This window comes from Homo sapiens, chromosome X, assembly GCF_000001405.40.
Source record: "Homo sapiens chromosome X, GRCh38.p14 Primary Assembly".
Taxonomy (NCBI): Eukaryota; Metazoa; Chordata; class Mammalia; order Primates; family Hominidae; genus Homo; species Homo sapiens.
In genome coordinates this window covers 102,633,156-102,660,399 of record NC_000023.11, presented here as the reverse complement: position 1 = coordinate 102,660,399, position 27,244 = coordinate 102,633,156, and the positions used below count along the sequence as shown (strand labels likewise).

The 27,244-nt window shown below is 42.3% G+C and overlaps 2 protein-coding genes across 8 annotated transcripts in view; both read right to left on the bottom strand.

Annotated features, from left to right (window-relative positions):
- ARMCX5-GPRASP2 (ARMCX5-GPRASP2 readthrough) overlaps positions 1–27,244 on the bottom strand; it is a 308,717-nt gene that overhangs the window by 247,665 nt on the left and 33,808 nt on the right. Inside the window, exons 1-2 of one of the 4 annotated variants that reach the window (NR_146585.2) lie at positions 339–417; positions 132–202 (exon numbers count right to left, since the gene is read on the bottom strand). The exons of the other annotated variants lie outside the window; for them this stretch is intronic. The gene's annotated coding sequence lies outside the window, so the exon portion shown is untranslated. Of the gene's footprint in view, positions 1–131; positions 203–338; positions 418–27,244 lie in introns of those variants that run through there. 4 annotated transcript variants of the gene reach the window in all.
- Positions 1,317–8,917, bottom strand: GPRASP1 (G protein-coupled receptor associated sorting protein 1). Of its 4 annotated transcripts, NM_001184727.2 has the most exons (6): positions 8,805–8,917; positions 8,667–8,713; positions 8,135–8,225; positions 7,502–7,569; positions 7,102–7,179; positions 1,317–6,820 (listed from the first exon to the last, which is right to left on the bottom strand). In NM_001184727.2, the coding sequence occupies exon 6, from the start codon at positions 6,484–6,486 to the stop codon at positions 2,299–2,301; it is 4,188 nt and encodes a 1,395-aa protein (NP_001171656.1). In that variant the 5' UTR covers positions 6,487–6,820; positions 7,102–7,179; positions 7,502–7,569; positions 8,135–8,225; positions 8,667–8,713; positions 8,805–8,917; the 3' UTR covers positions 1,317–2,298. The 4 variants fall into 4 exon arrangements, with proteins under 4 accessions (NP_001171656.1, NP_055525.3, NP_001092880.1 ...); NM_014710.5 differs by lacking the exon at positions 8,667–8,713; NM_001099410.2 differs by lacking the exons at positions 8,135–8,225; positions 8,667–8,713.

Here is a 27,244-nt window from a genome sequence, read left to right as displayed (position 1 = left end):
GGGCGCTGGGTTGGGACCCCTGGGATGTTCAAAAGGCAGGAGGCAGCCCGGGGATCCGAGGCACTACCTGTACCCGCATCTAGTCTCAGTCACCGCCTCTCAGGGATGGCATCTGCCGTCCTTGCACCCACCTCCTCCAATAGCAACAGCTGCTTCTCTTCACGAACGCCTAGGGCAGGTAGAGTCTCTGCTTCTTGAGCTCCTGGACAAAAGACAGACCGTCTAAGACCGCTAGCGGTTGGCTGAGGGATAGTTTCCTCTACCAAGAAATGCTGTAATTCCGGTCGCCTGAGAAATTAGTTTTCAGGCTGATGAAGCATGGAGAGACACCTACCCACCTTAATATTCCGCCGTTCCCCCCACCTCCCGCTCTGCGGAGCACAGTTGTCGTCTGCCTTTCCTGTACTTTCTGGGTGTAAGAAAACACTCCTCTAGGCCGGCTCAACCCAGAGCCTGGTCACATGACCCACCGTCAGCCCCTCCCCCCTCCACGTGACTGCGCAGTCAGCTAGTTTGCCACAGCCCTGCATGACAGTCAGAAGACAGCCTCCGGGGTGCTTGCTAGAAGACCCTCAAGCTCCTGGCCCAGACAGCTGGAAGGAAGGCCGGGCTTTGCTCTGGAGGACCACTGGGCTGGCGAGGAACATTCGATGAGGATTGGGGAGATGAAGTGATTTGTGATATTTTGTATACGACTAGAGCGACATACTAAAACACACGCAAGATCTGTCTTGAAAAATGCTGGTAAGCAAAACAAACATTCAAACTCCAATTTGCACCACCAGGATGATCCCTGTTAAAATTTTTGATTTGTGAAGGGAGGCAAAACTGCCACTTTGCCCTGCTTTCGTAAACCTTAGCAAACTAACATCATATTGGAATTTAATTTATATCATTTATAATGAACCAGAAATAGGAAGTAATGAGAAATAAGATCAGGTGGGAAAAAGCCTTTGCATCCTGAGGCAAACCAAATGTAAAAGGGTCACTGTATCTATTTTTTTTTCCTGAGAAAATAAAACTTTGCATATTTCCTGTTATCCTGGACTCTCTCCCCAAACCGACTTTATCCCTGTCTCTTGCTACTGTCTGAACATATATGTTCCAACCTTTTTAAATGTAAAAATACATGTGGGATGAACTCAGGAACTTTGGTAATTTTACAGTTTGGTCCTTTAAATAATTTTTAATTTTTCATTTTTAATTGACAAGCCAGTTCTTCTGAAATTGTAGTCTCTCTTACCTCTTCATTCCTTTGATACATTTTATATCATTGTAGAATTTTCTATTATTAAATAATATACACTTCACATGAGTTTGGTCAATTTATTCACATTTATTTTTCAAATGGGATCATACTTCCCATGTATGACACCAGTGTTCTCTATTATATGAAATATCAAAAATGTCAGGGCTTTTCCTAAAACCCTATACATCATCATGTTTAATGGCTGTATGATGTTGCCTTAACACTTACCATGGTACCATCATGATTAAATTGTCTTCCTGACTCAATCAAATCCCTATGCTTTCCTGTCTTATTCTTTTGCCCTTTAGGTAGTATGGAAGCAGCAGTTGTACTTTGAGCTGTAAAATGCAAATCCTCAGCTCTTTAAAACTTATGTCATCCTCTATGTTGCTCAATATATTCCTCTCACTCACTCTAGGCAAACAGGATACCTCACTCCCATAGGAAAATTTTTCCTAACTCCATGCTTTTTTTTTTTTTTACACCACCAATATCTTTCCCAAACTTCAGAGTCCAACCGAAGTAGCTACTTTTTCTCTGAAGTATGCCCTACATAGCAGCCCCTGGTAATTTTTGCGTTTAAAGCTGAGAAAAAAACTTTTGAAAGGAACATATTATTCATATATTAATTATCTCTATGTGTGTTCATGTGTTATCATTGGGTCTGTATTTTAATTTCAAGAAGAAGGGTGATTTCTGCCAACTTTAACATAGGACTTTATTGAAACACAAACAACACTCAAATATATATATATATACAGTAGAACGACAATCAGAAGGGTGGCTTATTTATGATTGCTCAGTTCACTATAAGCTCAAATACTGAACATCACAATGTGGACAAGACAAATATCAACAAATGTGTTTTCAGCTCTAATATTCAGCTGGCATCAGAAAAATGCTCCAGCTTACAGACAGAGTTGGACAAAGTTAGTGTCAGCACTAAAGATATATGTTGCAACACAGAACCAACTATTAAAATCAAAGCATTACTCAAGGATCATAACTCAGGAACATAAGGACAATCTGAGGCCAGCAATTAACCATTACTAATTTTCTTGGTCCCCTTCAGGGTCATTTTGATTGTCTGTTTTGCCTTGCAGTTCCTTAGCAAATTTCTCAACTTTGTGGAATGCAGAAATAAGCGGCTCAATATTGAAATCATCATCAGAGAACACTGTTTCTTTTTTGATATTGTTGCCAATATTCTCAAATATTGCAAGAACAATTTGAATATTGTCATTTGTCTCTTCCCTGTTAAAGAGGCCTATAAATTCTGACACTGCTTCAGCACTGAGTAGTTCTTTTGTCATGAAAAGATTTTCAGACAAATTCAGTAGCATTTTCAAAACATGAAACCTTGTTTTGGCATTGCCTGTAGCTAATAAGGAGAGAAACCCAGACATATAATTGGCAACCAGTGTGTGATAGTCAGTAGTAGTAGTGAGATGTCTAATCATCCTTATTCCAGACAGCTGTTCCGGGGAATCCACGCTATAAGCAAGGGTTTCCTCACACACTTTACATATGTATGTCTGAATTATGTTTAGATTCGGATAAGGTGGGGCCATGCGAATCATATTTTCCAAAAAACTTGTTCTAACTCGGGAGGACGGATAATTAAGCAAGGTTTCAATAAGTGAGACAACACCTGAATCTCGAATGAAATCTCGGGTAAATTGAGAAGCACTTCTCATACCCATTGCGATTTTAGATATTTCATGAATAAAAGGATCCCGAATTTTTTCCATTAATAAAAGGAGTTCTTCAAACTCTTCAGAACCAATTTTCAGCTCACATTGTATGCAGTTACAGGATGAACTCTCAGGCTCTGTACTCTCCTTGGCCCTAAGATGCTCTCGAATTTCCTGGACTGACCTGTAGGAAGGATCATACTGAAATGGGAACTCAGGACTAGGCTGATCAGGCTGAAGCAAAGATTCCTGATCTTCCCCTTCTGGGCTAAGTACCATGTTCCTGGGTTTGCCCCCAAACATTTCACAGAATAAAGATGCTGCCTCTTTCGGAAATCTAAAGGGGCTTATAGATGGGAAGCCGACCCTACCCCATGGACCAGGCTTGAACTGAACAGTGACCTCCTCCCAACTCTGAGGCCTGCGTGAAGGATCAGGCTCCTGTTCAACTGAACACGTGGACCTGCAAATGGCCCTGAACACGGGGCTAGGATTTGATTCAAAATGGGCCTCATCTCCTGCCCAGAACCAGGACCCCACTATGGCCTCATCTTCATCAGCTAATGTCCTGGACCCACAGTTGCTTCCATTGTCAGTCCTGTTATCTACCTCATCTTCAGCCTCAAACCAAGACCCAACAATGGCCCCTTCCTCATTTTCTGGCTTGGACTCACAGGTGGCCACAGTTCCAGTTTCCTTAATGGCTTTGTCTCTAGACCAGAACCAGGACTCAACAATCATCTCTTCATCATCCTCTGGCTTGGATACACAGCATGGTCCTGCTTCTTCACTGACTTCTTTTCCATCCCAGAACCAGGACCCAAAAATGGTTTCCTCTTCAGTCTCTGACTCCATTTCCTCTACTGCCTGAGATCCAGCCTGTATACTGGCTTCTTCTTCAGGCCAGAACCAGGACCCAACAGTGATTTCTTCCTCCTCAGTCCCAGGCTTTGACTCAAAGCCGACTCCTGCCACTGCCTCCGGACTGGCCTCTTCTTCCCAGAACCAGGACCCAATAATGACTTCTTCCTCTTCAGCTTTAGGACTGGATTTGCTGCAAGACCCAGCCTCTCTTCTAATGGTCTCTTCTCTGGCCCCAAACCAGGACCCAACAATACCTTCTTTCTCAGCTGCTAGCCTGTCTTCTTCTCTAGTCTCAGCAGCTGGCTCTAGTCTGTCCTCTTCTCCAGCCCAGAACCAAGAACCAATAATGTCCCCCTCCTCAGCTTCTGGCCTGGACTCTTCTCTGTCAGTAGCCTCTGAAATGGCTTCATCTTCTTTCCAGAACCAGGAATTGATTATGGTCTCCTCTTCAGTCAGTAACTTGGCCTTTTCTCCAGTCCCATCTATATTACTCTCTTCTGTAGCCCATAACCAGGACCCTATAATGGCCTCTGGCTTTGTGTATTTTCTGGACCAGAACCACGAATTGACAATGTCCTCTTCCTCCTCTGGCCTAGACTTCCAACTTCCTCCACCGGCAGGATACATACAGGGTTCTTTTTCTGCCCAGAAGCAAGACTTATTATTGGTCTCCTCAGCCCCTGCCATAAATCTGCATCTGACACCAGTCCCATGCTTCATACTGACCTCTTCTTTGGCTCCAAAACATGGTATCATGGCCTCTTCCTTGTCCTCCAGGCTAGACTTGCTGTTGACATCACCCTCCACACAAGCTTCTACTCTGGTCCAAAACCAGGACCCAATAATGGGCTCCTCCTCCTCAGCCCCTTGCATGGTGTCACAGCTAGTTTCAGCCCTACAATCCATATAGGTCTGGTTTTCAGCCCAAAACCAGGACCCGAATATTGTCTCTTCTTCAGCTCCTGGCCTGGCCTCTTCTCCGATTCCAGCCTCTATATCAACTTGTTCTCCAGACCAAAACCAGGGACCAATGACCTCTTCTTCCTCAGACCTTGTCCTGGACTCACAGCTGACCCCAACACCAGATTCCACACTGGCCGCATCAATGACCCAGAACCACGACCCAAAAATGGTCTCTTCCTCAGCCTCTTGGTTGACCTCTTCACCAGCCCAGAACCAGGAACCAATAATGACCTGTTCATCATCAGCTGCTAGTATAGATTCAGAGGTGGCCTCAGCCCCAGTTTTCATACTGGTCTTTTCCCTAGCCCCAAATAAGGAATCACCAATACGCTCCCCATCAGTCCTTGGTCTGGATTTACTGCTAGCCCCAGTCCCCATACTGGCCTCTTCTTCAGTCCAGAACCAACTCCCAATTATGGACTCATCCTCCACTTGTAGACTGGACTCTATGCTGGCTTCATCTGCCATGCTGGACTCGTCTGTAGCCCAGAACCAGGTCCCAATGAGGGCTTCCTCCTCTGACCTGGCTTCTTGCTTGGCCCTGGCTCGGGCCTTGGTTTTGGCCTCTTCCTTTGTCATTGCTCTGGCCCTGGCCTCTTTCTTGATCATGGGCCTTGAAAAGGTATTAGCATTTTCTTCAGGCCAGAAACAGGACTCTTTTTTAATTACATCTATAGACCCAGGCATGAAATCAATGCAAGCTTCTCGCTTGGCCCTGTGCCTGGCCCTGTTATTGGCCTCCTTCCCAGCTCTCATTTTGGACCTGAATTTGGCCTCCTTTCCAGCCCCAAACCAGGACTCCAAATGGTCTTCATGCTCAGATCCAGAACTTGATTCAACATAGACTTCTTTCTTAGACCTAAACCTGGACCTGCTATTGGGATCTTCCCTGGGCCCAGACCAGGTATTGGTTTTATCTCTGGCCCAGAACCAGGGTGTCTTAACAGACTCATCCTCAGAACCAGAACTAGATGCAATATAGAGCTCCTGGTTAGTTTGGGACCTAGACATGGTATTAGCCTCTTGATTGGCCATGTGCATGGATCTGTTACTGTCTTTTACCCTATTCCCAGGATGAAATTTTGCAGTGACCTCATCTCCACTCCAGAACAAGGAACTCACAGATTTGTCTACCCATTTGAAATCAGAATTAGGAGAGGCTTCTTGTTTGGATGTAGGCCTAGGACAGCACCAGGACCCCATATTGGTCTCCTCCTTTGACCTAAAAGAAGGCTGGAATCCTGCTTGGTAATGGGCCTTCCTTCTAGGAAAGCTCTCAGTGTCTGTATTAACCAGTTCTCTATCCTCAGACAGGTACTTTGTTTTAGCAACCAAGACAGAATCAGTACTGACAAGTGGAGAGGCTATGATATTGGTCTGGGAGTTTCTCTCTGTCTTAGACAATCTTTCAGCACCAAACCTGGGCTGAGCCCACATCTGGGCTTCTTCCTTAAATCGTGAAACAGGTATTGCCTTGGCCTTACTCTTAGGGCGTGCCCCACCCACTGCACTTGTCTCAACTTTGGTGCTTGCTCCAGGCATAACCTTGGACTTATTCTTGGGCCTTGCCCCAGGCATTATCTGGGCCTGGGTCCTAACCTTGGGTCTGACCACCAGAGGGACATCATTCTCTATCTCAGCCCCACCTACAACCTCTTCCCCAGGCTTCTTTTCAGGCTTGACCTGGGCACCAGACTCAATCTCTGCCCCAGTCATGGTACAAGTTACAAAGAAAGTCCAGTACTATACTCCTCCCCCAGTCTAAACCTCAACCACAGATCTGTCACAGGTTTGTTTCTTCACACTCTGATCTTTAGGTGATTGAGGATATAAGCTTGGAAACAAGAGTTAGAGTCAATATCCAGTCCAGTAGTCACTCAGCCTCCTTCCCAAACACAGTCTCAGTCAGTAATTCAATAATACAGATAGAGTGTAGAACAGGCACAACCAAGCTTGAGGAAGACAGAGATTTCCTGGATGGGTGCAGACCCGTTGAGGGTGGTTGTCAGCAGCAACCCCACCACCAGCAGAGCAGCCACTGGAGGTGGATCTAGGGAGAGAGAATGAAATGGGGCTTTGAGTCTCTTCCAATTATGTCATCCCATGCAGAGACATATGCAGTGAGACTGATGTTGAATGCTAGGTGGGACAGCTGGGCTTTGAGAAAGTCTCTCTGGACCGGCTGCCTCCTATTAAACAGGTCCAACAATGGTGGGAAAGTGTGTCGGCAATGGGAGGGGCCAAGAAGTCCCCAGATTGGACCCTAAGCACTCCCGGACCCATGCTGGTCTCCACTACCCCGCCCAAAAGTATACCCACTCTCATACCAACCTTCACTTATGTGGTGCAGTTTCCCCCTCCTTTTCTTGTTCAAGTAGTGTCAAGCCCCACAGCTGACAGAAGGGGGTCCTACAGACAAGTAAACATACAGGAGAGAATGGAGAATGGTAGATAGGCAAGCACTCTGGCTCCTGTGACAAATATCTGTCTTCCCATTCAAGGGTTCAATGTATCTATGGTTTCCTGTGTCCTGGTCCCTGCTCTCAGGTCTTTCTGAGTCACAACACAACCTACACCTATCTCATGTCCCCTGCAAGAAATAAAAAGGATGCTGGCACTGTGCAAATCCAGCAGAGTAGAAGTGGGTCTGCACCCACTGGTCTCAAAGCCACCTGCCATGCTCTCTTTCTCCAACTGTCCCCTGAATTGCCCCCTCCCCCTTCTCACCAACCTCCAGAGGTGTGAGCCAGTCTCCTCCTCCTTGCCTTTCTTGCAGAACTGGCCAGCCTTAAAGCAGGCCTATGGACAAACAGATGAAAAAGTAAGACAGGAAATGAGGGGTGGCAGTAAAGCCCTTGGTAGAGAGACCAACGCTAAGGATAAGAATCCCCATATTATTGATATCTGTCTTTCAACATTCGGGGTTTTGCTGGTGGAATATTCTCGTTTTGTTTAGGCCCTGCTTCAAGGTTCTAGAGATAACAACTCCTTCTCTTGACGTCATACTCTTCTCATTACTCCCTTCTCCAATTCTGAGGATTCACCACTAGGTGCGCCACATCCCCTTGCTCTGCGCAGCAGAAAATGGGGGAAGGGCGCCACATATTCTAGAAAACAGGTCGTGAATTGGTACTTGTCAGTATGTCTCCCTCATCACCCCTACCTCCAAAGCTCACCCTTTCAAGCCCCCAGTTTAGGACGGTGGGGGAGGCAGATGGGGATGGAAGGTGGGGGAAGCGCCTGGAACACCATTAGAGAGGGGAAGATTAAGAGGTGCTCCTGGATGCCTGACCTGCTCTGGTCGCAGTCCCCCACCCCGATTCGGTTCTCCAGTGTTTGGCACCCACCCCACATCCCCACACACCTCCAGAAATCCAGGGAATATTCGTGCTCCTCCTTTATTTCAAGCCTCTCCTCTACAGATGCTCACTGTGTCCTGTCAGAATACGCCAGACCTACCGCGCAGACAGACTTTGACATCAACCTGGAGTCTGTGGGAAGGGACAGCACCCAGGACACGGGGCCCCACAGGCCCCTTTCCGGAATCAGGGCCCGGAGCAGCGAACGCGACCCACCTCCCACGGGCTAGGCACAGAGCTGGGACGCTGGCCCACGAGGGCCCCCCCAGGCGCCCCCCAACTGCCTCCCGGGCGCCCCCCAACACGGCTCCCGTTTGGCCATTTCTCCCGCAGGAGCCTCCCCCACAGCCGTCTCTCGGTACCGAAACCGTCGAGGGCTGCGCGCGGGCGCCTGCAAAGCTGGCTGGGAAGCGGTCAGCGCGGTTCTCCTCCAGACGATCTGACGGTGCCTCTGGAGCCAGCCCCTCAGCCCTTGGTCCGGCCTGGCCCGCACCAGTCACCGCCTCCCCATAGCCAGGGATCTCGGGCACTGCGCACCTCTCTCTAGCGCCCGGCTCCGAACGGATCGTCTCCTCGTTGCCAGGCTGTCAGGGTCCGGGGGGCAGGTTGCCAGCCGGTCCACCCTGGCGGACCACCCCCACACCACGGCCCCCCACCTCACGCACCCCTACTTGCCTTCAGAGGCCCAGAGCCCAGGTCATCGGCCTCCCCCTCCTCTCTTCAGCTCTCCTCTGGCTGCTCTTCAGTTGGATTCCCACCGCTTTCCCAGCGATCCGAATGGCAAAGACGAGTCCCGCCCCCCACGCCTCTGCACCAAACTGGGCAGGGGCTGCGCAGGATGCGGCAAGAACCGCTCTCCGCGAGGGTGTCGGGAAGGGGGGCGGAGGGATACGGCGCGAAAGTGCAGGACGCCCCCCCTCACAGAACCACCATAGTTCCGACCCAGAGGTGGGCGGGGCCAGGACGAGCCCCAGCCGGGGCCTGCGGGTTGGCACCAGGCTGCCTCAGGAGGACCCCGCGGACCCTAACGTGGCGACGACCACCACATTTCTGGCGCTGCTATAATATATGGCACCGGCGGGCGGCTGCGGGGCCGGGCGGAGGACAGGATCGCGAGGTCGCGAAGAGCCGCGCTGGAGGGAGCAGCGGATGGATACCAAACCGTCCCTTGGTGTGTCTGCACCCCCGCCCCAACCGCCCCCCTATAAGGACTGCTGGGTGTTTGCCCTCTCCCCCTCCCTAGTCTGCTCACCCTCCTTCCTGGATGTTAATGGGAGAGGGGGTGTCAGCACTGCAGTGTGGGAGGGGAGAGGCGATTTCAGTCCAGACAGGCCCGGGGTTCTAGGGTGGTCGTCCTGTGCGTTTCTTTCCCAGCTTCGTGGAGCCACGCAGGGGAGGAAGGTACACCTGCTCTTAAGTGAACTCCGGGGCAGGGGGCTCCCATCAAGGACTCACCACTGCCCCTCTTCTAAAAGAAGGTAGACCTAGACCTCTAACCCTAGGAAACCAACCACTGGTCTGCACCAGACTCATTTCTTTCTGCCACACCGCTGTTTCTCATTTCAAATGGTGGCTCACGTTGGCATTGCACCGTCCCCACAGTTGCCCCCAAAAGAGGACCTTTCCCTGTCAGGACCCGCAGGAGGTCATAACAGTCCTCTCTCTTTGATGCCGCCAGGTAGGGATGGTCCTGGCTTCTCTTCGGTTCCCTGTCAAGTCTTCTCTTGCCATGATATTTGGCAGTGTGGAAATGTGGCTGGTATCAAACCAGCTTGGATCTCCGCCACCTGCCACAACTACCTATTGTTTCAGCAGTCATTCTCAGGAGAGGATCCCACCGTGCACCCCCCTCCCCGAGACAAAGCAACCTGGCTCATTTGAATCCTCTTCTTTCACCCCCACATCCGTCCTCTACTCTTGAGCCCCTCCTTTCCCTGCTTCCTGCATGGGACAGACAGAGCAATGTGGTTAAACACCAAGTTGATGTTGTTACTGTTGTCCATTTGAAAACTCATTTAGACACTACCCTCATTGTGTTTGGCAGGTAACGGTCCCCTAAAGATGTCCATGTCCTGTTCTCCAGAACATGTACCATTTTATATTACCTGACAAAGGATCATTAAGATTGCTATTCAGCTGAGTTTAATTTAAGATTATTCTGGGTTATCTTGGCCAATGTAATTGCAAGGGTACTTTAGATGTGGAAGGCAGGGACTCCATGTCAGATTGAAGCAGCATAGAAAGTCTACACTGGTCATCGTTGGCTTTGAAGATGGAAGGAAGCCAAGATCCAAGAAATACAGGCTGTCTCCAGAACCTGGAAAAGACAAAGAAACAGATTCTTCCCTAGAAATGCCAGAGGGATAGCTCCTCTGGCAACATCTTGATTTTAGTGTGGTGAAGCCCTTTGAAGATTTCCAACCTTCCAGGACTGTAAGATAATAATAAATTGGTATTATTTTAAGCCATTCCATGTATGGTAACTGGTTACAGGGTAGCAGCACCAGACCTATCTGGTTTAACTTTTATATAACAAAGTTGTGCATTGTCTTTCAGTTGCCGGGGACCCTCAGATCATGTTACCTGAGCATCCTCAGATGAACCAAGCATGCAATCAGAGGGAGAATGTAAGTGTTTTGAATTAGGACCAGGGCTGAATTAAGAAGTGGACACTGGATGGCAGGATCCAGTCAGATCATGCCTCTCAGCATCACCTCATTGTAAGATCCAAAGCCATCAGGATATACCCTTAATACCCAATGCTTATGAAAACCTGACCCAGCCCCCATCTCAGGGAGACATTATTTTGGGAAGTATCCCTGGTGGTCTCATTACTTCGTTACAAGTAATAAATCCCCTTACTAAATCCTTGCTGTGATCATGGGGTTGATGTCAAACGACTGAACCCACCCACTGTGTTGGTTGGTAACAATAGCAGGAGTAGGAACAGAATACACTCACCATCCTGATGAATTCTATTCCCATTGCCTTTCTTTACCTGTGCTTCAGTCTCTGAGAAATATTTTAGGGCTCATCTCACCAATACAGCCACCAATCCCCTTTACTGTTTTATAATTATGTCCAAAATCACATTTGCACAAGCTTCTGTGGTAATTCTGCAGGTGCTAGGATCTTTATTCCAAGATATTTACTGACAGAGGAATGGTTCTACCAAAAGCTGACAAATTTTACTGTGTGAGACTTTAAAATGTGTGTTGGACAATTTGTTGTCAGTACTCTTAGAAAACATGGTCTTGTATTGGTTAGTATGTATTGAAGTGATAAAGGCCCTACTTTAAGCTTTTCATATGTTAGCTTTGTATGGGTATGTATCAAATAGATTATTATTTTTAAAACCTTTGAGCAAATAAAAGATTGAAATAAGATACTCTGACTGCTAAGCACTATTTATTTCCTCCTATAATTGATTCTAGTTCAATAAATTGCAACAGTCATCTTTCTACTCCTCAGTGCCTACACTAGCACCTGTGTAACCCTGACTTACCACTGAAATCTAAATGTCAGAGCCAAATAATCCATAAGCATTAAGTCCATGATACAGATGCAACTGTGCTCACTCATCATACTCACTGTTTTCTTCCAAATCCCACCCACCACCCCCAAGCATGCTCATGAACTTGCACACCAGCCTATCACTTGCCTGTTCTCCTCTTGTCTGTCTCAATCACCATGGTCATGGACTTGTTTTTGCCTATTTAGTTTTACTTGCCTCTATACTGTCCTTTATGGGCCTCAAGCAAAGCTTCCTTCTGAGACTTCTCTTTTGGTCGAGGCTGAGCCAAACCCTGTGTTTTCTTATAATGTATCCCCTTCTTCTATCTCAAAGTTTCAAAGGTTGTACACAGAAATTAAAGTCCCCTGTAGTCAGGAATAACTAGGCTGAGGTTGGTCTGGTGAACTATATGGTGAAATTGGCCCAACAGATGTCTATTTTCAGTGTAGCCTGAAAATGCTATGGGAAAGATCTCAGCCTGTCTCTACTTCTTGAGACAGGGTACATTTGCAGAACTGGTGGGGAGGCCTGGCCCAAGAATATTTTCAGGTCATATTTGGGGTGGGGTCTACTTCAAGAGAATTAATCTTGAAGAAAAACCAAGTCACGCACAAGGACCCTAGCCCATGAACAATGCCTTGCCATTAGGGAAGTATAGATATTCTAATAGCAACACTGAAATTATTATAGAACTCCTATTTGTGCCTATTCCAACACAAACCCTCAACTGTATATCTGTCATAGCAAAGGCAGGTTTATACATATCCAGGAAATAACTGTCTTTAAGTAAACTCTGTAATGCTCCAGTGTAAGGAACCCATTAATAAAGCATAACCTAAAGAGAGGAAAATATCCTCCTTTCTAACATGGATTTAAACTTTTGACTACTACTCAGATCTGACATCATGAAAACCCTGTGTATAGGTGGAGTTAGGAAATTAGAGAGAACAGTTAATTAGAGGACATTAAATGCCTGGCAATACAGCTTAGAATGGCAGCAACAACTGGAAGAATCACAGGAAAACCCCAAAAATTCAGGACATAGGAAATACCCCTTGAGGATTTTTAGAACTATAGGAGCTGGCAAGGAGAGCTAATTAGCTTTACAGGGAGAAGAAAACCTGAATTTCCACAATGTCAATAAATATTAGAAATTAATGGAATGTCAAATTGCTTTCTATAATAGAAAAAATAATGAGAAAACTACACTACCTTTTGTTGTTGTTTCTCATTAACTAACCATCACTTCCTGCCTCATCATGATAGGGCCTCACCACAGCCTGCATCCAGCCAGCAAATGAGAAAAAGGAGAATAGAAGTAGTTGATTTCCTTCTTAAAATCCATGGTGAGGAAATGCTCACATCATTTCCACTCACATTCCATTGATGGGACTTGATATGGTTTGACTGTGTCCCCACCCAAGTCTCAACTCGAATTGTAACTCCCAGAATTCCCACATGTTGTGAGAGGGACCCAGGGGGAGGTAATTGAATCATGGGGGCCAGTCTTTCCAGTGCTATTCTCATGATAGTGAATAAGTCTCACAAAATCTGATGGGTTTATCAGGGGGTTCTATTTTTGCTTCTTCCTCATTTTTATATTGTCACTGCCATGTAAGAAGTGCCTTTTACCTCCTGCCATGATTCTGAGGCCTCCCCAGCCATGTGGAACTGTAAGTCCAATTAAACCTCTTTTTCTTCCCAGTCTCGGGTATGTCTTTATCAGCAGCGTGAAAACAAACTAATACAGTAAATTGGTACCGGTAGAGTGGGGTGTTGCTCAAAAGACACCCCAAAATATGGAAGCGACTTTGAAACTGGGTAACAGGCAGAGGTTGGAACAGGGCTCAGAAGAAGACAGGAAAATGTGGGAAAGTTTGGAACTTCCTAGACACTTGTTGAATGGCTTTGCCCAAAATGTTGATAGTGATATGGAAAATAAAATTCAGGCTGAGGTGGTCTCAGATGGAGATGAGGGACTTGTTGGGAACTGGAGCAAAGGTGACGCTTGTTATGTTTTGGCAAAGAGACTGGCAGCATTTTGCCCCTGCCCTAGAGATTTGTAGAACTTTGAACTTCAGAGAGATGATTTAAGGTATCTGGCAGAAGAAATTTCTAAGCAGCAAAGCATTCAAGAGGTAACTTGGATGCTGTTAAAGGCATTCAGTTTTATAAGAGAAGCAGAGCATAAAAGTTTGGAAAATTTGCAGGCTGACTATGCGATAAGAAAGAAAAACCCATTTTATGGGAAGAAATTCAAGCCAGCTGCAGAAATTTGCATAAGTAGCAAGCAGCCTAATGTTAATCCCCAAGACCATGGGAAAAATGTCTCCAGGCCATGTCGGAGAACTTCCCAGTAGTCCCTCCCATCACAGGCCTGGAGGCCCAGGAGGAAAAGTGTTCTTGTGGGCTGGGCACAAGGCCCCCATGCTGTGTGCAGCCTGGGCACTTGGTGCCCTGTGTCCCAGCTGCTCCAGCTGTGGCTGAAAGGGGCCAACATACAGCTTGGGCTGTGGCTTCAGAGGGTGGAAGCCGCAAGCCTTGGCAGCTTCCACGTGGTGTTGAGCATGCAGGTGTACAGAAGTCAAGAACTGAGGTTTGGGAACCTCTGCCTATATTTCAGAAGATGTAAGAAACGCTTGGATGCCCAGGTAAAAGTTTGCTGCAGGGGTGGGGCCCTCATGGAGAACCTCTGCTAGGGCAGTGCAGAAGGGAAATGTGGGGTCAGAACCCTCACACAGAGTCCCTACTGAGGCACCACCTAGTGGAGCTGTGAGAAGAGGGCCACCATCCTCCAGACCCCAGAATGATAGATCCACTGACGGCTTGCACTGTGTGCGTGGAAAAGCCACAGATAATGCCAACCCATGTAAGCAGCCAGGAGGGAGGCTGTACCCTGCAAAGCCACAGGGCAGAGCTGCCCAAGACTGTGGGAACCCACTTTTTGCATCTGCATGACCTGGATGTGAGACCTAGAGTTGAAGGAGATCATTTTGGAGCTTTAAAATTTGACTGCCCCACTGGATTTCAGACTTGCATGGGCCCTGTAACCCCTTTGTTTTGGCCAATTTCTCCCATTTGGAATGGTTGTATTTACCCAATACCTACACCCCCGTTTTATCCAGGAAGTAACTAGATTGATTTTGATTTTACAAGCTCATAGGCAGAAGGGACTTGCCTTGTCTCATATGAGACTTTGGACTGTGGACTTTTGGGTTGATGCTGAAATGAGTTAAGACTTTGGGGGATTGCTGGGAAGACATAATTGGTTTTAAAATGTGAGGAAATGAGATTTGGAGGGGCCAGGGGTGAAATGATATGGTTTGGCCATGTCCCCACCAAAATCTCAACTCGAATTGTATCTCCCAGAATTCCCACGTGTTATGGTAAGGACCCAGAGGGAGGTAATTGAATCAGGGATTGGTCTCTCCCGTGTTATTCTTGTGATAGTGAATAAGACTCACAAAATCTTATGGGCTTATCAGGGGTTTCTGATTTTGTTTCTTCCTCATTTTTCTCTTGCTCCCGCTGTGTAAGAAGTGCCTTTTACCTCCTGCCATAATTCTGAGGCCTCCTGAGCCATGTGGAACTGTAAGTCCAATTAAACCTCTTTTTGTTCCCAGTTTCGGGTACATCTTTATCAGCAGCATGAAAACAAACTAATAGAGGACGCAATCACCATTTATTAAAAATCTTGTCCGTTCTCTATATGTGGTGGTGGTAATGAGAGAACCAGATATCCACAGATAAAAGAATAAAGTTGTCTCAGCAAACTAAAAATAGAGGAGAACTTCCTCAACTTGATAAAGGATATTTACCAAAAACCTACAGCTAACATCATACTTAATGGTGAGAAACTTGATTTATCAGTAAGATCAGGAATGAGGCAGATATTTTCCCTTTCACCACTGCTTTTCTACATCATAATGGAAGTCCTAGCTAATGCAATAAAGACAAGAAAAAAGAAATTAAAGTTATACTGACTGGGAAGAAAGAAAACTGTTTTCATGTGCAGATGAAATGACTGTGTATGTACAAAATCTGAAAGAACTGACAACAACAAAAAAACTTCTGGAACTGATAAGTAATTATGGCAACGTTGCAGGATACAAGATTAATATATTTTAAAAATGACTTTCCTAAATACGAGCAATGAGAAAGTAGAATTTGTAGTTTAAAAATGATAACATTTACATTAGCACCTAAAAATGAAACACTTAGGTATAAATCTAGCAGAATATGCACAATATCTATATGAGTGAAACTATGAAACACTGATGAAGGAAATAAAATAACTAAATAAATGCAGAGATATTCCATGTACATGGATAGGAGGATTCAATATTGTCAAGATATTAATTCTTCCAAATTTAATCTATAAATTCAGTGCGATCCCAACCAAAATTGCAGCAAGTTGTTTTGTAAGTACTGACAAACTGATTCTAAAGTTTATATGGAGAGGCAAAAGGCCCATAGTAGCTGACACACTATTGGAGAAGAACAAAGTTGGACCAACACTACCCAACTTTAAAAATTACTATAAAGCTATAGTAATCAAAACAGTGTGGTATCAATGAAAGGACAGGCGAATAAATGCAACAGAACAGAGAGCCCAGAAACAGACCCATGTAAATATGGCCAACTGATCTTTAACAAAGGAGCAAAGGCAATACAACAGAGAAAAGAGAGTCTTTTCAATAAATTATACTGAAACAACTCAACACCCACATGCAAAAAAAATCTAGACACAGACTCTACACATGTCACAAAATTAACTCAAAATGGCTAACAGAACTAAAAGTAAAATGCAAAACTACAGCTCCTAGATGGTTACATTTTCTAAAAGTCTAGATTACCTTGTGTAGGGTGACAATTCTCTAAATATAATACCAAAGGTATGATTCACAAAATAAGGTATTGGTTAGCGGGACTTCATTAAAAGTAAAAACTTCTACTCTGAGAAAGGCACTGTTATCTGAGAAGATAAGCCACAAACCAGGAGAAAATATTTGCAAAAGACATATGTGATAAAGAACTGTTATCTATAATATATGAAGAACTCTTAAAACCCAACAATACGAAAACAAACAGGATTAAAAAATGGGCTAAGGACCTTAACAGACACCTCACCTAAGAAGATATACAGATGGCAAATAAACATATGAAAAGATGCTCCACATTGTATGTCATCAGGAGAATGCAAATTAAAACAACAGTGAGATACCATTATACACTTAATACAATGGTCAACATGTAGGACACTGACACCACCAAGTGCTGCAAAGGAGGTAGAGCAACAGAAACTTATTTAGTGCTGGTAGGAATGCAACATGGTATAGCCACTTTGGAAGATGGTCATGGTTTCTTAGAAAACTAAATATACTCTTAGCAAATAATACCGAAGTGGAACTCCTTGGTATTCATGCAAGTGAGTTGAAAACGTATGTCCACACAAAAACTTGCACATGGATGTTTCTAGCAGCTTCATTTATAATTGCCAATAATTGGAAGTAACCAAGATGTCCTCTACTAGATTAACATAAACTGCGGCATATCCAGAAAATGGAATACTATCCACCACTAAAAATAAATGAGCTATCAAGCCATGAAAAGATCTGGATGAAACTTAAATGCATATTACTAAGTAAAAAAAGCCTTGTAAAAAGGCTACATACTGTTCATCTTGCAGTTCCAGTGGATACAATATTTTTCTTCCTACCTATTTTGGGGACTTGGTTAATCTATTGAAGTATCATACCATGGAAGGGAGATTTCACTGCATATAACTTACATGATTATGTAATATAATGAATATTTTGCTGAAATAAAAAATAAGCTAGACTCCTCTTCATACCATATGTAATATTTAATTCCAAATAGATTAAAGACATAAATATAAGAGCTAAAAGTATCACGCTCTTAGAATAGAGATATGGTTTGGCTGTGTCCCCATCCAAAATCTCATCGTGAATTGTAACCTGCATAACCCCTATAATCCTCATGCGTCAAGGGCAGGACCAGGTGGAAGTAATTAGATCATGAGAGCAGCTTCCCCCATGCTGTTCTCGTGATAATGAGTGAGCCTCACAAGATCTGGTGGTTTTGTAAGTGTCTGGCATTTACCCTGCTTGCACTAACTCCATACTGCCACCCTGTGAAGAAGGTGCCTGCTTCTCCTTTGCCTTCCGCCATGATTGTAAGTTTCCTGAGGCCTCCCCAGCAATGTGAAACTGTAAGTCAATTAAACTTCTTTCCTTTATGAATTAACCAGTCTTCGGTGTTTCTTCATAGCAGTGTGAGAGCGGACTAATAGAAATACATAGGGGTAAACCTTCATGACCTTAGATTTGGCAATGGTTTCTTGGATATAATACCAAAAGCAAGATTAAGAAAAGAAAAAAAATAGATTAAATGGACTTCATCAAAAAATTTTACCCATGACTAAAACACCAAAAGCAATGGCAACAAAAGCCAAAATTGACAAATGGGATTTAATTAAACTAAAGAGCTTCTGCACAGCAAAATAAACTATCATCAGAGTGAACAGGCAGCCTAAAGAATGGGAGAAAATTTTTGCAATCTATCCATCTGAAAAAGGGCTAATATCGAGAATCTACAAAGAACTTAAACAAATTTACAAGAAAAAAACAACCCCATCAAAAAGGCAAAGGATATGAACAGACACTTCTCAAAAGAAGACAGTTATGCAGCCAACAAACATATGAAAACATATTTAAAAAAAGCTCATCATCACCGGTCATTAGAGAAATGCAAATCAAAACCACAATGAGATACTATCTCATGCCAGTTAGAATGGCAATCATTAAAAAGTCAGGAAACAACAGATGCTGGAAAGGATGTGGAGAAATAGGAACGCTTTTACACTGCTGGTGGGAGTGTAAATTAGTTCAACCATCGTGGAAGATAGTGTGGCGATTCCTCAAGGATCTAGAACTAGAAATACTAGAAATACCATTTGACCCAGCAATCCCATTACTGGGTATATACCCAAAGGATTATAAATAATTCTACTATAAAGACACATGCACACATATGTTTATTGTGGCACTGTTCACAATAGCAAAGACTTGGAACCAACCCAAATGCCCATCAGTGATAGACTGGAAATGAAGAACATGTGGCACATATACACCATGGAATACTATGCAGCCATAAAAAATGATGAGTTCATGTCCTTTTCAGGGACATGGATGAAGCTGGAAACCATCATTCTCAGCAAACTAACACAGGAACAGAAAACCAAACACTGCATGTTCTCACTCAAGTGGGAGTTGAACAATGGGAACACATGGACACAGGGAGGGGAACATCACACACTGGGGTCTGCTCGGGGGTGCGGGGCAAGGGGAGGGATAGCATTAGGAGAAACGCCTAATGTAGATGATGGGTTGATGGGTGCAGCAAACCACCATGGCACGTATATACCTATGTAACAAACCTGCACGCTCTGCACATGTATCCCAGAACTTAAAGCATAATAATAAAAAAATAAGAAAATGGAAATTGATTTTAAAAATTTTTACAATGTGCATCAAAAGACAACATTAAGAAAATTAACAGAATGGAAGAAAACATTTGCAAATAATTTATCTGATGAGGGTTTAATATCCAGAAAATATAAAGAACTCCTACAACTCAACAGCAAAAAAAGACAACCCAACTAAAAAATGGGCAAAAATGTGAATAAATATTTTCCCAAAATGACATAAAAATGGTCAATAAGCATGTGAAAGGATTCTCAACATCATTAATCATTAGGGAAATGCAAATCAAAACCAAACTGAAATACTGCTTTACACCTCCTATGATCAGTATAATTTTAAAAAACAGAAAAATAAAAGCATTGGTGAGAATATGGATAAACTGGAACCCTACTGGAAATGTATAATTGTGCAGTCATTGTGGAAAGGTTTGGCAGTTCCTCAAAAAGCTAAATAGAATTACCATATGATCTTGCCATTCTTCACCTAGATAATACATCCAAGAAAAAAGAAAAGAGGTATTTAAACAAAAACTTGTACTCAAGTGTTCATAATATTAATAGCACTATTCACAAAAGACAAATGACTTAAATCTATCCAAATATCCATCAAGTGATGAATAGAGACACAAAATGTAATACATACATATAATAAAATTTTCAGCCAGAAAAAGAATGAAGTTCAGATACATGCTACAACATGAATGAACCTTGAAAACATTATGCAAAGTAAAAGAAGCCAGACACAAAAAGACAACTATTGTATTATTTCACTCATTTGATATATCTAGAATAGGCAAATTAATAGAGATAGAAAGTAGAATTAGAAGTTACCAAGTGCTCCAAGGAGAGGAAAATACTTAATTATTAAAAAATTTCTATTTAGAATGATGTATTCTAAATAGAATACATTTGTGCTGTAACACAAACTGAATGGCTTAAACAACAGACATTTATTTTTGCACAGTTCCATAGGGTAGAAGTCTGAGATCAAAGTGTCTGCAGGCCCACGCTCCCTCTGAAGGCATGCGGGAAGGATATGTTTCAGGCCTTTCTCCTAGCTTCTGGTGGTTTGTTGGCAATCTTTGGTGTTCTTTGACTTCTTTGTATCACTCTGATCTTTTTCTTCATCTTCACTTGGCACTCTCCCTGTGTGCTTGCCTCTGTGTCCAAATTTCCCCTTTTTATAAGGACACTAATCATATTGGATTAGGATTCCACCCTAATGATCTCATGTTAATTTGAATACCTTTATAAAGATCCTATCTCCAAATAAGGTCACATTAATATTAAGGGATAGGACTCCAACATATCTTCTGTGGGGGCACAATTTAAACTATAAGAGGTGATAAAAAGTTTTAGAAGAAGATAGTGGTGGCAGATGTACAACAGTGTGAATGTAATTAATGACACTTAATTGTCCACTTAAAATGGTTAAAATGGCAAATTTTGTGTTATATTTTACCATAATTAACAAAAGATATCACACATTCTCCTCTCTCCTCAAACAATAATCACCTCCTACATATTACTCACTTTGAGTTGATGACTTTGTTTCTTATTTCATTAAAAAAAATAGCAATTAGAAGGTAACTTTTACAAACTCCCATCACTATATCTACTATACCACTTGCATCTATGGACATAAATTCTGCCTTTTCTGCTATTCTATGAATGAATTGTCCAGGCTCTTATCTAAAGCCAGCTTCTCTATTTGCTTACCAGATGATATCCCATTTCCTCTATTCAAGGTCATTATTCCAGCAATTTTCTTCTTTCTCTCTTCTGTCATAGAAATTTCCCTCTCAATTTCTGTTGTCCGGTTCTGCATGAAGCTTGGAAGTCACCACTCTATCCTAACAAGTAAAAAGTTGAACAAACTGAAAAATCAACCATTATTCTTAGATCTGTAAGAGAAGTGAGGTCACAAGACAAACCTCTGTCCCAAAAATAGGAAGAGAAAGTCGTAGATGGAGAGAATCACAACATACTTTAACAGAAACCTCTTTGGGAACCAGTGCTAGGGTAGGAAAATCTGAACTGTAATTCACAAATTGCTGAAGGCTAGGTGTGTACAAATCTGAGAGTTAAAAATTCCAGGACGATCCACTAATGGGGGATCCCATGCTTTTGTGACTTCAAGACTAACTGTAAAGCTATAGGAATCAAAGACAGTATGGTAGCAGTGAAAGGAAGGACAACAGATAGAGAGCAATGCAACAGAACAGAGAGCCCAGAAATAGATCCATATAAATATGGTCAACTGATCTTTGACAAAGGAGCAAAGGCAATATAATGGAGAAAGGACAGTCTTTCCAATAAATTATGCTGGAATAACTGGACATCCACATGCAAAAAAATTAATCTAGATACATACCTTATACCTTTCAAAAATTAACTAAAAATAGATCACAGTCTTAAATATAAAGTATATCTCCTAGAAGATAACATAAGATAAAATCTGGATGACCCTGGTTTGATGATGACATAGATACACTACTAAACGCAATAATCCATGAAAAAAGGTGGGTGTATGAGGGGTGATGAAGAGAGGTTACTTAATGGGTACAAACATACAGTGAGATAGAAGGAATAAGTTCTAATGTTCAATAGCATTATAGGGTGACTATAGTTAACAACTATATATTATATATGTCAAAAAAGCTAGAAAAGAGGACTTGAAATGTTTCCAACGCATAGAAATGACAAATACTAGAGGCGATGGATACCCTAAATACCCTAACTTGATAATTACACATTCTATGCATGTAACAAAACATTACATGTACCCCAAAATACGTAAAAATACTACGTATTACTAAAAAACATAAAAAGCAAGTGTTTTTTTTAAAAAAAGAATTAATAAGCTGTACTTCATTACAATTAAACATTTCTGATCTGCAAAACATGCTGTCAAGAGGCTGAGGCCACAAACTGGGAGAAAATGCTTACAAAAGACATATCTGATGAAAGTATTGTTAACCAAAATATACTAAGAGCTCTTAAAATCAACAATAAGAAAACAAACACGACAATTTAAAAACAGGCCAGCGATCTTAACAGATATATCCTCACCTAAGAAGATATACAGATGGCATATGAACATATGAAAAGACATTCCACATCATATGTCATCAGGTAAATGCTAATTATAAAAACAATGAGATACCAATACACAACTATTAGGATGGCCAAAATCCAAACACTTACAGTGCCAAATACTGGTGAGGATATGAGGCAACAGGAAGTGTCATTCATTGCTGGTGGAATACAAAATTGTAGAGGTAATTTGGAGGGCAATTTAGCAGTTTCTTACAAAACTAAATGTACTTAGCATACAATTCAGCAATTGCTCTCCTTGGTATTTACCCAGATAAACTGAAAACACATCCAAACCAAAACCTGCACGTTGATGTGTCTAGCAGCTTTATTCATAATTGTCAAACATGGAAACATCAAAGATGTCCTTCAGTAGGTGAATGGATAAATACACTGTGGTACATCCAGACAATGGAATATTATGCAGCACTCAAAAGAAATGAGCAATCAAGCCATGAAAACACATGGAAGAAATGTAAATGCATATTAATAAGTGAAATAAACCAGTCTAAAAAGACTACATACTGTTTTATTCCAACTATATGATGTAAAAGCAAAACTATGGAAAGAGTAGAAGGATCAGTGGTTGCCATGGGTTAGGGGGAGGGAGGAATGAATAGGCTGAGCACAGAGGATTTTTAGGCTTTTGAAAATACTCTGTATTATAATACAATGATAGATACATGACAGTATATATTTTTCCAAACCCATAGAACATAGAACACCAAGAGCAAACCCTAATGTGAACAGTGGAGTTTGGGTGATAATGATGTGTCAATGTAGGTTCATCAATTTTAGCAGATGGAACCACTGTTGTGGGGAATATTGGCAATGGGTGAGACTATGCATGGTTGGGGGCAGAAAATATATGGGATAGCTTTGTTCCTTCCTCTCACTTTTTTTGTGAACCTTAAACTGCTCTTTAAAAAAATAGTCTACACAAATTTTCCTCTCTCCTGGAATATTCTCATCAGCATGAAAACATGCTGTACTATTATCTATCTTGAAAAACAAAATTCTCCCTGTACCTATATCATTCCAGAGCTAATGCCCCAATTCTCTGATGTTTTGCTGTAGAACCCCTCAAAATAGTTGTCAATGTTTATGACACTGTCTCCTCTTTTTCCCTTCAAACCACTCCAGTCTTTTATTCTACAATCCAATGAAGTTGGTTTTCATTGGATTCATTTTATCCTACAATCCAATGAAGTTGAATGCTCCACTGAAACTGCTTTCCTCAAGATTTCCAATGATCTCCATGTTGCCAAATCCAATACTCAATTCTCAATCCTCTTGTTGACCTATCATCATAGGGAGCATATAATTTATCATCCAAATCAAGGCACTTCTAAAAGTAAAAAAGGGTCTTATTAACAATTATTCCTGTACAACAGGCATAAACCAGGACTGTCCTGGGAAACTAAATGATATTTGGTCATTTACCTAACAGTAGTGTTAGACAGGGTTGATCACTCCCTCCTCTGTGAAGCATCTTCTTGACTTGGCTTCTAACATATTATATGTTCCTGGTTTTTCTCCTACCTTATTGGCTACTCCTTGACTGTACCTTATTAACTTTTGTTTTTGATGATTTATTATCATCTCCTGTATCTCAACTTTGAAATGCCGCAAAGCCTAATCTTTTTTTTACCTTTTAGGTTCCGGGGCACATGTGAAGATTTGTTATGTTACATAGGTAAACTCACGTCATGGGAGTTTGTTGTACAGATTATTTCATCACCCAGGTATTAAGCCCAGTACCTATTAATTACTTTTTCTGCTCCTCTCCCTCCTCCCACCCTCAACTCTCAAGTAGACCCCAGTGTCTGTTGTTTCCTTCTTTGTGTTCATAAGTTCTTATCATTTAGCTCCCATTTATAAGTGAGAACATGCAGTATTTGGTTTTCTGTTCTTGTATTAGTATGCTAAGGATGATAGCCTCCAGCTCCATCCATGTTCCTGCAAAAGACATGATCTAATTCTTTTAGTAGCTGCATAGTTTTCCAGTGTGTATATGTACCACATTTTCTTTATCCGGTCTATCACTGATGGGCATTTAGGTTGATTCCATGTCTTTGCCACTGTGAATAGTGCTGCAATGAACATTCGCGTCCATGTGACTTTACAGTAGAATGATTTATATTCCTCTGGGTATATACCCAGTGATGGGATTCCTGAGTCAAATGGTGGTTCTGCTTTTTTGTGAGGAATTGCCATACTGCTTTCCACAATGGTTCCACAAACAGTGTATAAGTGTTCCTTTTCTTCCACAATCTTGCCAGCATCTGTTATTTTTTGACTTTTTAATAAGAGCCATTCTGACTTGCGTGACACGTTATCTCACTGTGGTTTTGATTTGCATTTCTCTAATAATCAGTGATATTAATCCTTTTTTCACATGCTTGTTGGCCGCATGTATGTCTTCTTTTGAAAACTGTCTGTTCAAGCCTTTTGCCCCCTTTTGAATAGGGTTGTTTTCCTCTTGTAAATTTAAGTTCCTTATAGATACTAGATACTAGACCTTTGTCAGATGAAGACTTTGCAAATATTTTCTCCCATTCTGTAGTTTGTCTGTTTACTCTGTTGACAGTTTCTTTCTCTGTGCGGAAGCTCTTAATTAAATCCCACTTGTCAATTTTTGCTTTTGCTGCAATTGCTTTTGACATCTTCATCATGAAATCTTTGCCTGTTCCTATGTCCAGAATGGTATTACCTAGGTTGTCTTCCAGAGTTTTTATAGTTTTGGGTTTTACATTTAAGTCTTCAATCCATCTTGAGTTGATTTTTTGTATATGATGTAAGTAAGGGTCCAGCTTCAATTTTCTGCATGTGGCTAGCCAGTTATCCCAGCACCATTTATTGACTAGGGAGTCTTTTCCCCATTGCTTGTTTTTGTCAGGTTTGTCAAAAATCAGATGGTCGTAGGTGTACAGCCTTACTTCTGGGCTCCCTACTTTGTTCCATTGGTCTATGTGTCTGTTCTTGTACCAGTACCATGCTGTTTTGGTTACTGTAGCCCGTATAGCTTGAAGTCAGGTAGTGTGATGCCTCCAGCTTTATTCATCTTGCTTAGGATTGCCATTGCTATTCGGACTGTTTTTTGGTTCCATATGAATTTTAAAATAGTTTTTTTCTAGTTCTGCAAAACATGCCATTGGTAGTTTCATAGGAATAACGCTGAATCTGTAAATTGCCTTGGGCAGAATAGCCATTTTAATGATATTGATTCTTCCTATCCATGAGCATGGAATGTTTTTCCATTTGTTTGTGTCATCTCTGATTTCTTTGAGCAGTGTTCTCATTGTAGAGATCTTTCACTTCTCTGGTTAGCTGTATTCTTACGTATTTTGTTCTTTTTGTGGCAATTCTAAATGAGACTGCCTTCCTGATTTGGCTCTCAGTTTGGCTGTTGTTGGTGTATAGGAATGCTAGTGATTTTTATACATTGATTTTGTATCCTGAAACTTTGCTGAAGTTGTTTATTAGCTAAAGGAAATTTGGGGCCAAGACTATGGGGTTTTCTAGATATAGAATCATGTCGTCTGCAAAAAGAGATAGTTTGACTTTCTCTCTTCCTATTTTGGATGCCCTTTATGTCTGTCTCTTGCCTCATTGCCCTGGATAGGACTTCTAATACTATGTTGAATTGGAGTGGTGAGAGAGGGCATCCTTGCCAAAGCTCAATCTTTGGACTTCCTCTCTTACTACTCACACTATCTACATCTCTTAGTCATCTCATCCAACCTCTTGGCTTTAAATACCACCTATACCTTCATGTTTCTCAAATTTCTACCTCTAGTCTGGACCTATCTCCAAAGTCCCAAACTTATATCTCCAACTGCTTACTTTCCATCTTGACATGGATGTCTAAAAGGCATCTGAAATGCAATAAGTGATATCTGTATTCACTGAGCTGCTCAGCATCAGAATCAATTCCTCTTTTTCTCTTACTCTATATTTGATTCATCTACAACATCCATTGAATCTACCCACTAAATATATTTCAAAGCTGGACACTTACCACCACTTCCACAGCTGAGATCTTATTCCAAATCAATATCATCTGTTACCTGGACCACTGCAATTGTTTTATAGGTACTAGTTATCCTTCTTGCCTCAATTCTTGTTTCTCTAGAGTCCATTCTCTACACAGTAGCCAGGATTACTATTTAAAAATATAAGTCATGGCCAGGCATGGTGGCTCACACCTGTAATCCTAGCACTTTGGGAAGCTGAGGCAGGTGGATCACTTGAGGCCAGGAGTTTGAGACCAACCTGGGAGACACGGTGAGACCCCGTCTGTATTAAAAATACAAACATTAGCTGTGTGTGGTGGTGCATGCCTGTAGTCCCAGTTACTTGGGAGGCTGAGGCACAAGAATTGCCTGAACCTGGGAGGCAGAGGTTGCATGCACTTAGCCGTGACCATGCCACTGTGCTCCAGCCTGGGTGACAGAGCAAGACTGTCTATCTCTCTCTCTCTCCATATATATATATGGAGACAGCATATATATATATATATATATATATACACACACACATATATACACACACACATATATATATACACATATATATACACACACATATATATATACACATATATATATACACATATATATATACACACATATATATATATATGTGTGTGTATATATATATATAATATCTCACAGCTCTCCAGCTCCCCTTGCCAAAACCTTCTAGTGGCTTTCTGTAAGACTTAGAATCCAAACTTCTTTCCATGGCCTGTAATATCTTACATGATCTGGCCCCTGGCTACCATTTTAAAATCATCTCTCACCATTCTCCCCTTGCTTCCTCCATTTCAGCCACACTAGCCTTCTTGCTGTTTTTTGAGCAAGCCAAACACATTCCTACCTAAGGACCACTGTATTTGTTGTTCCCAAAGCCTAGAATATTTATCTGTTAGATAACCTCATGACTTGCTCCATCACTTCATTCAGGTATTTGCTCAGAATGAACTTCTCTGACTATCCT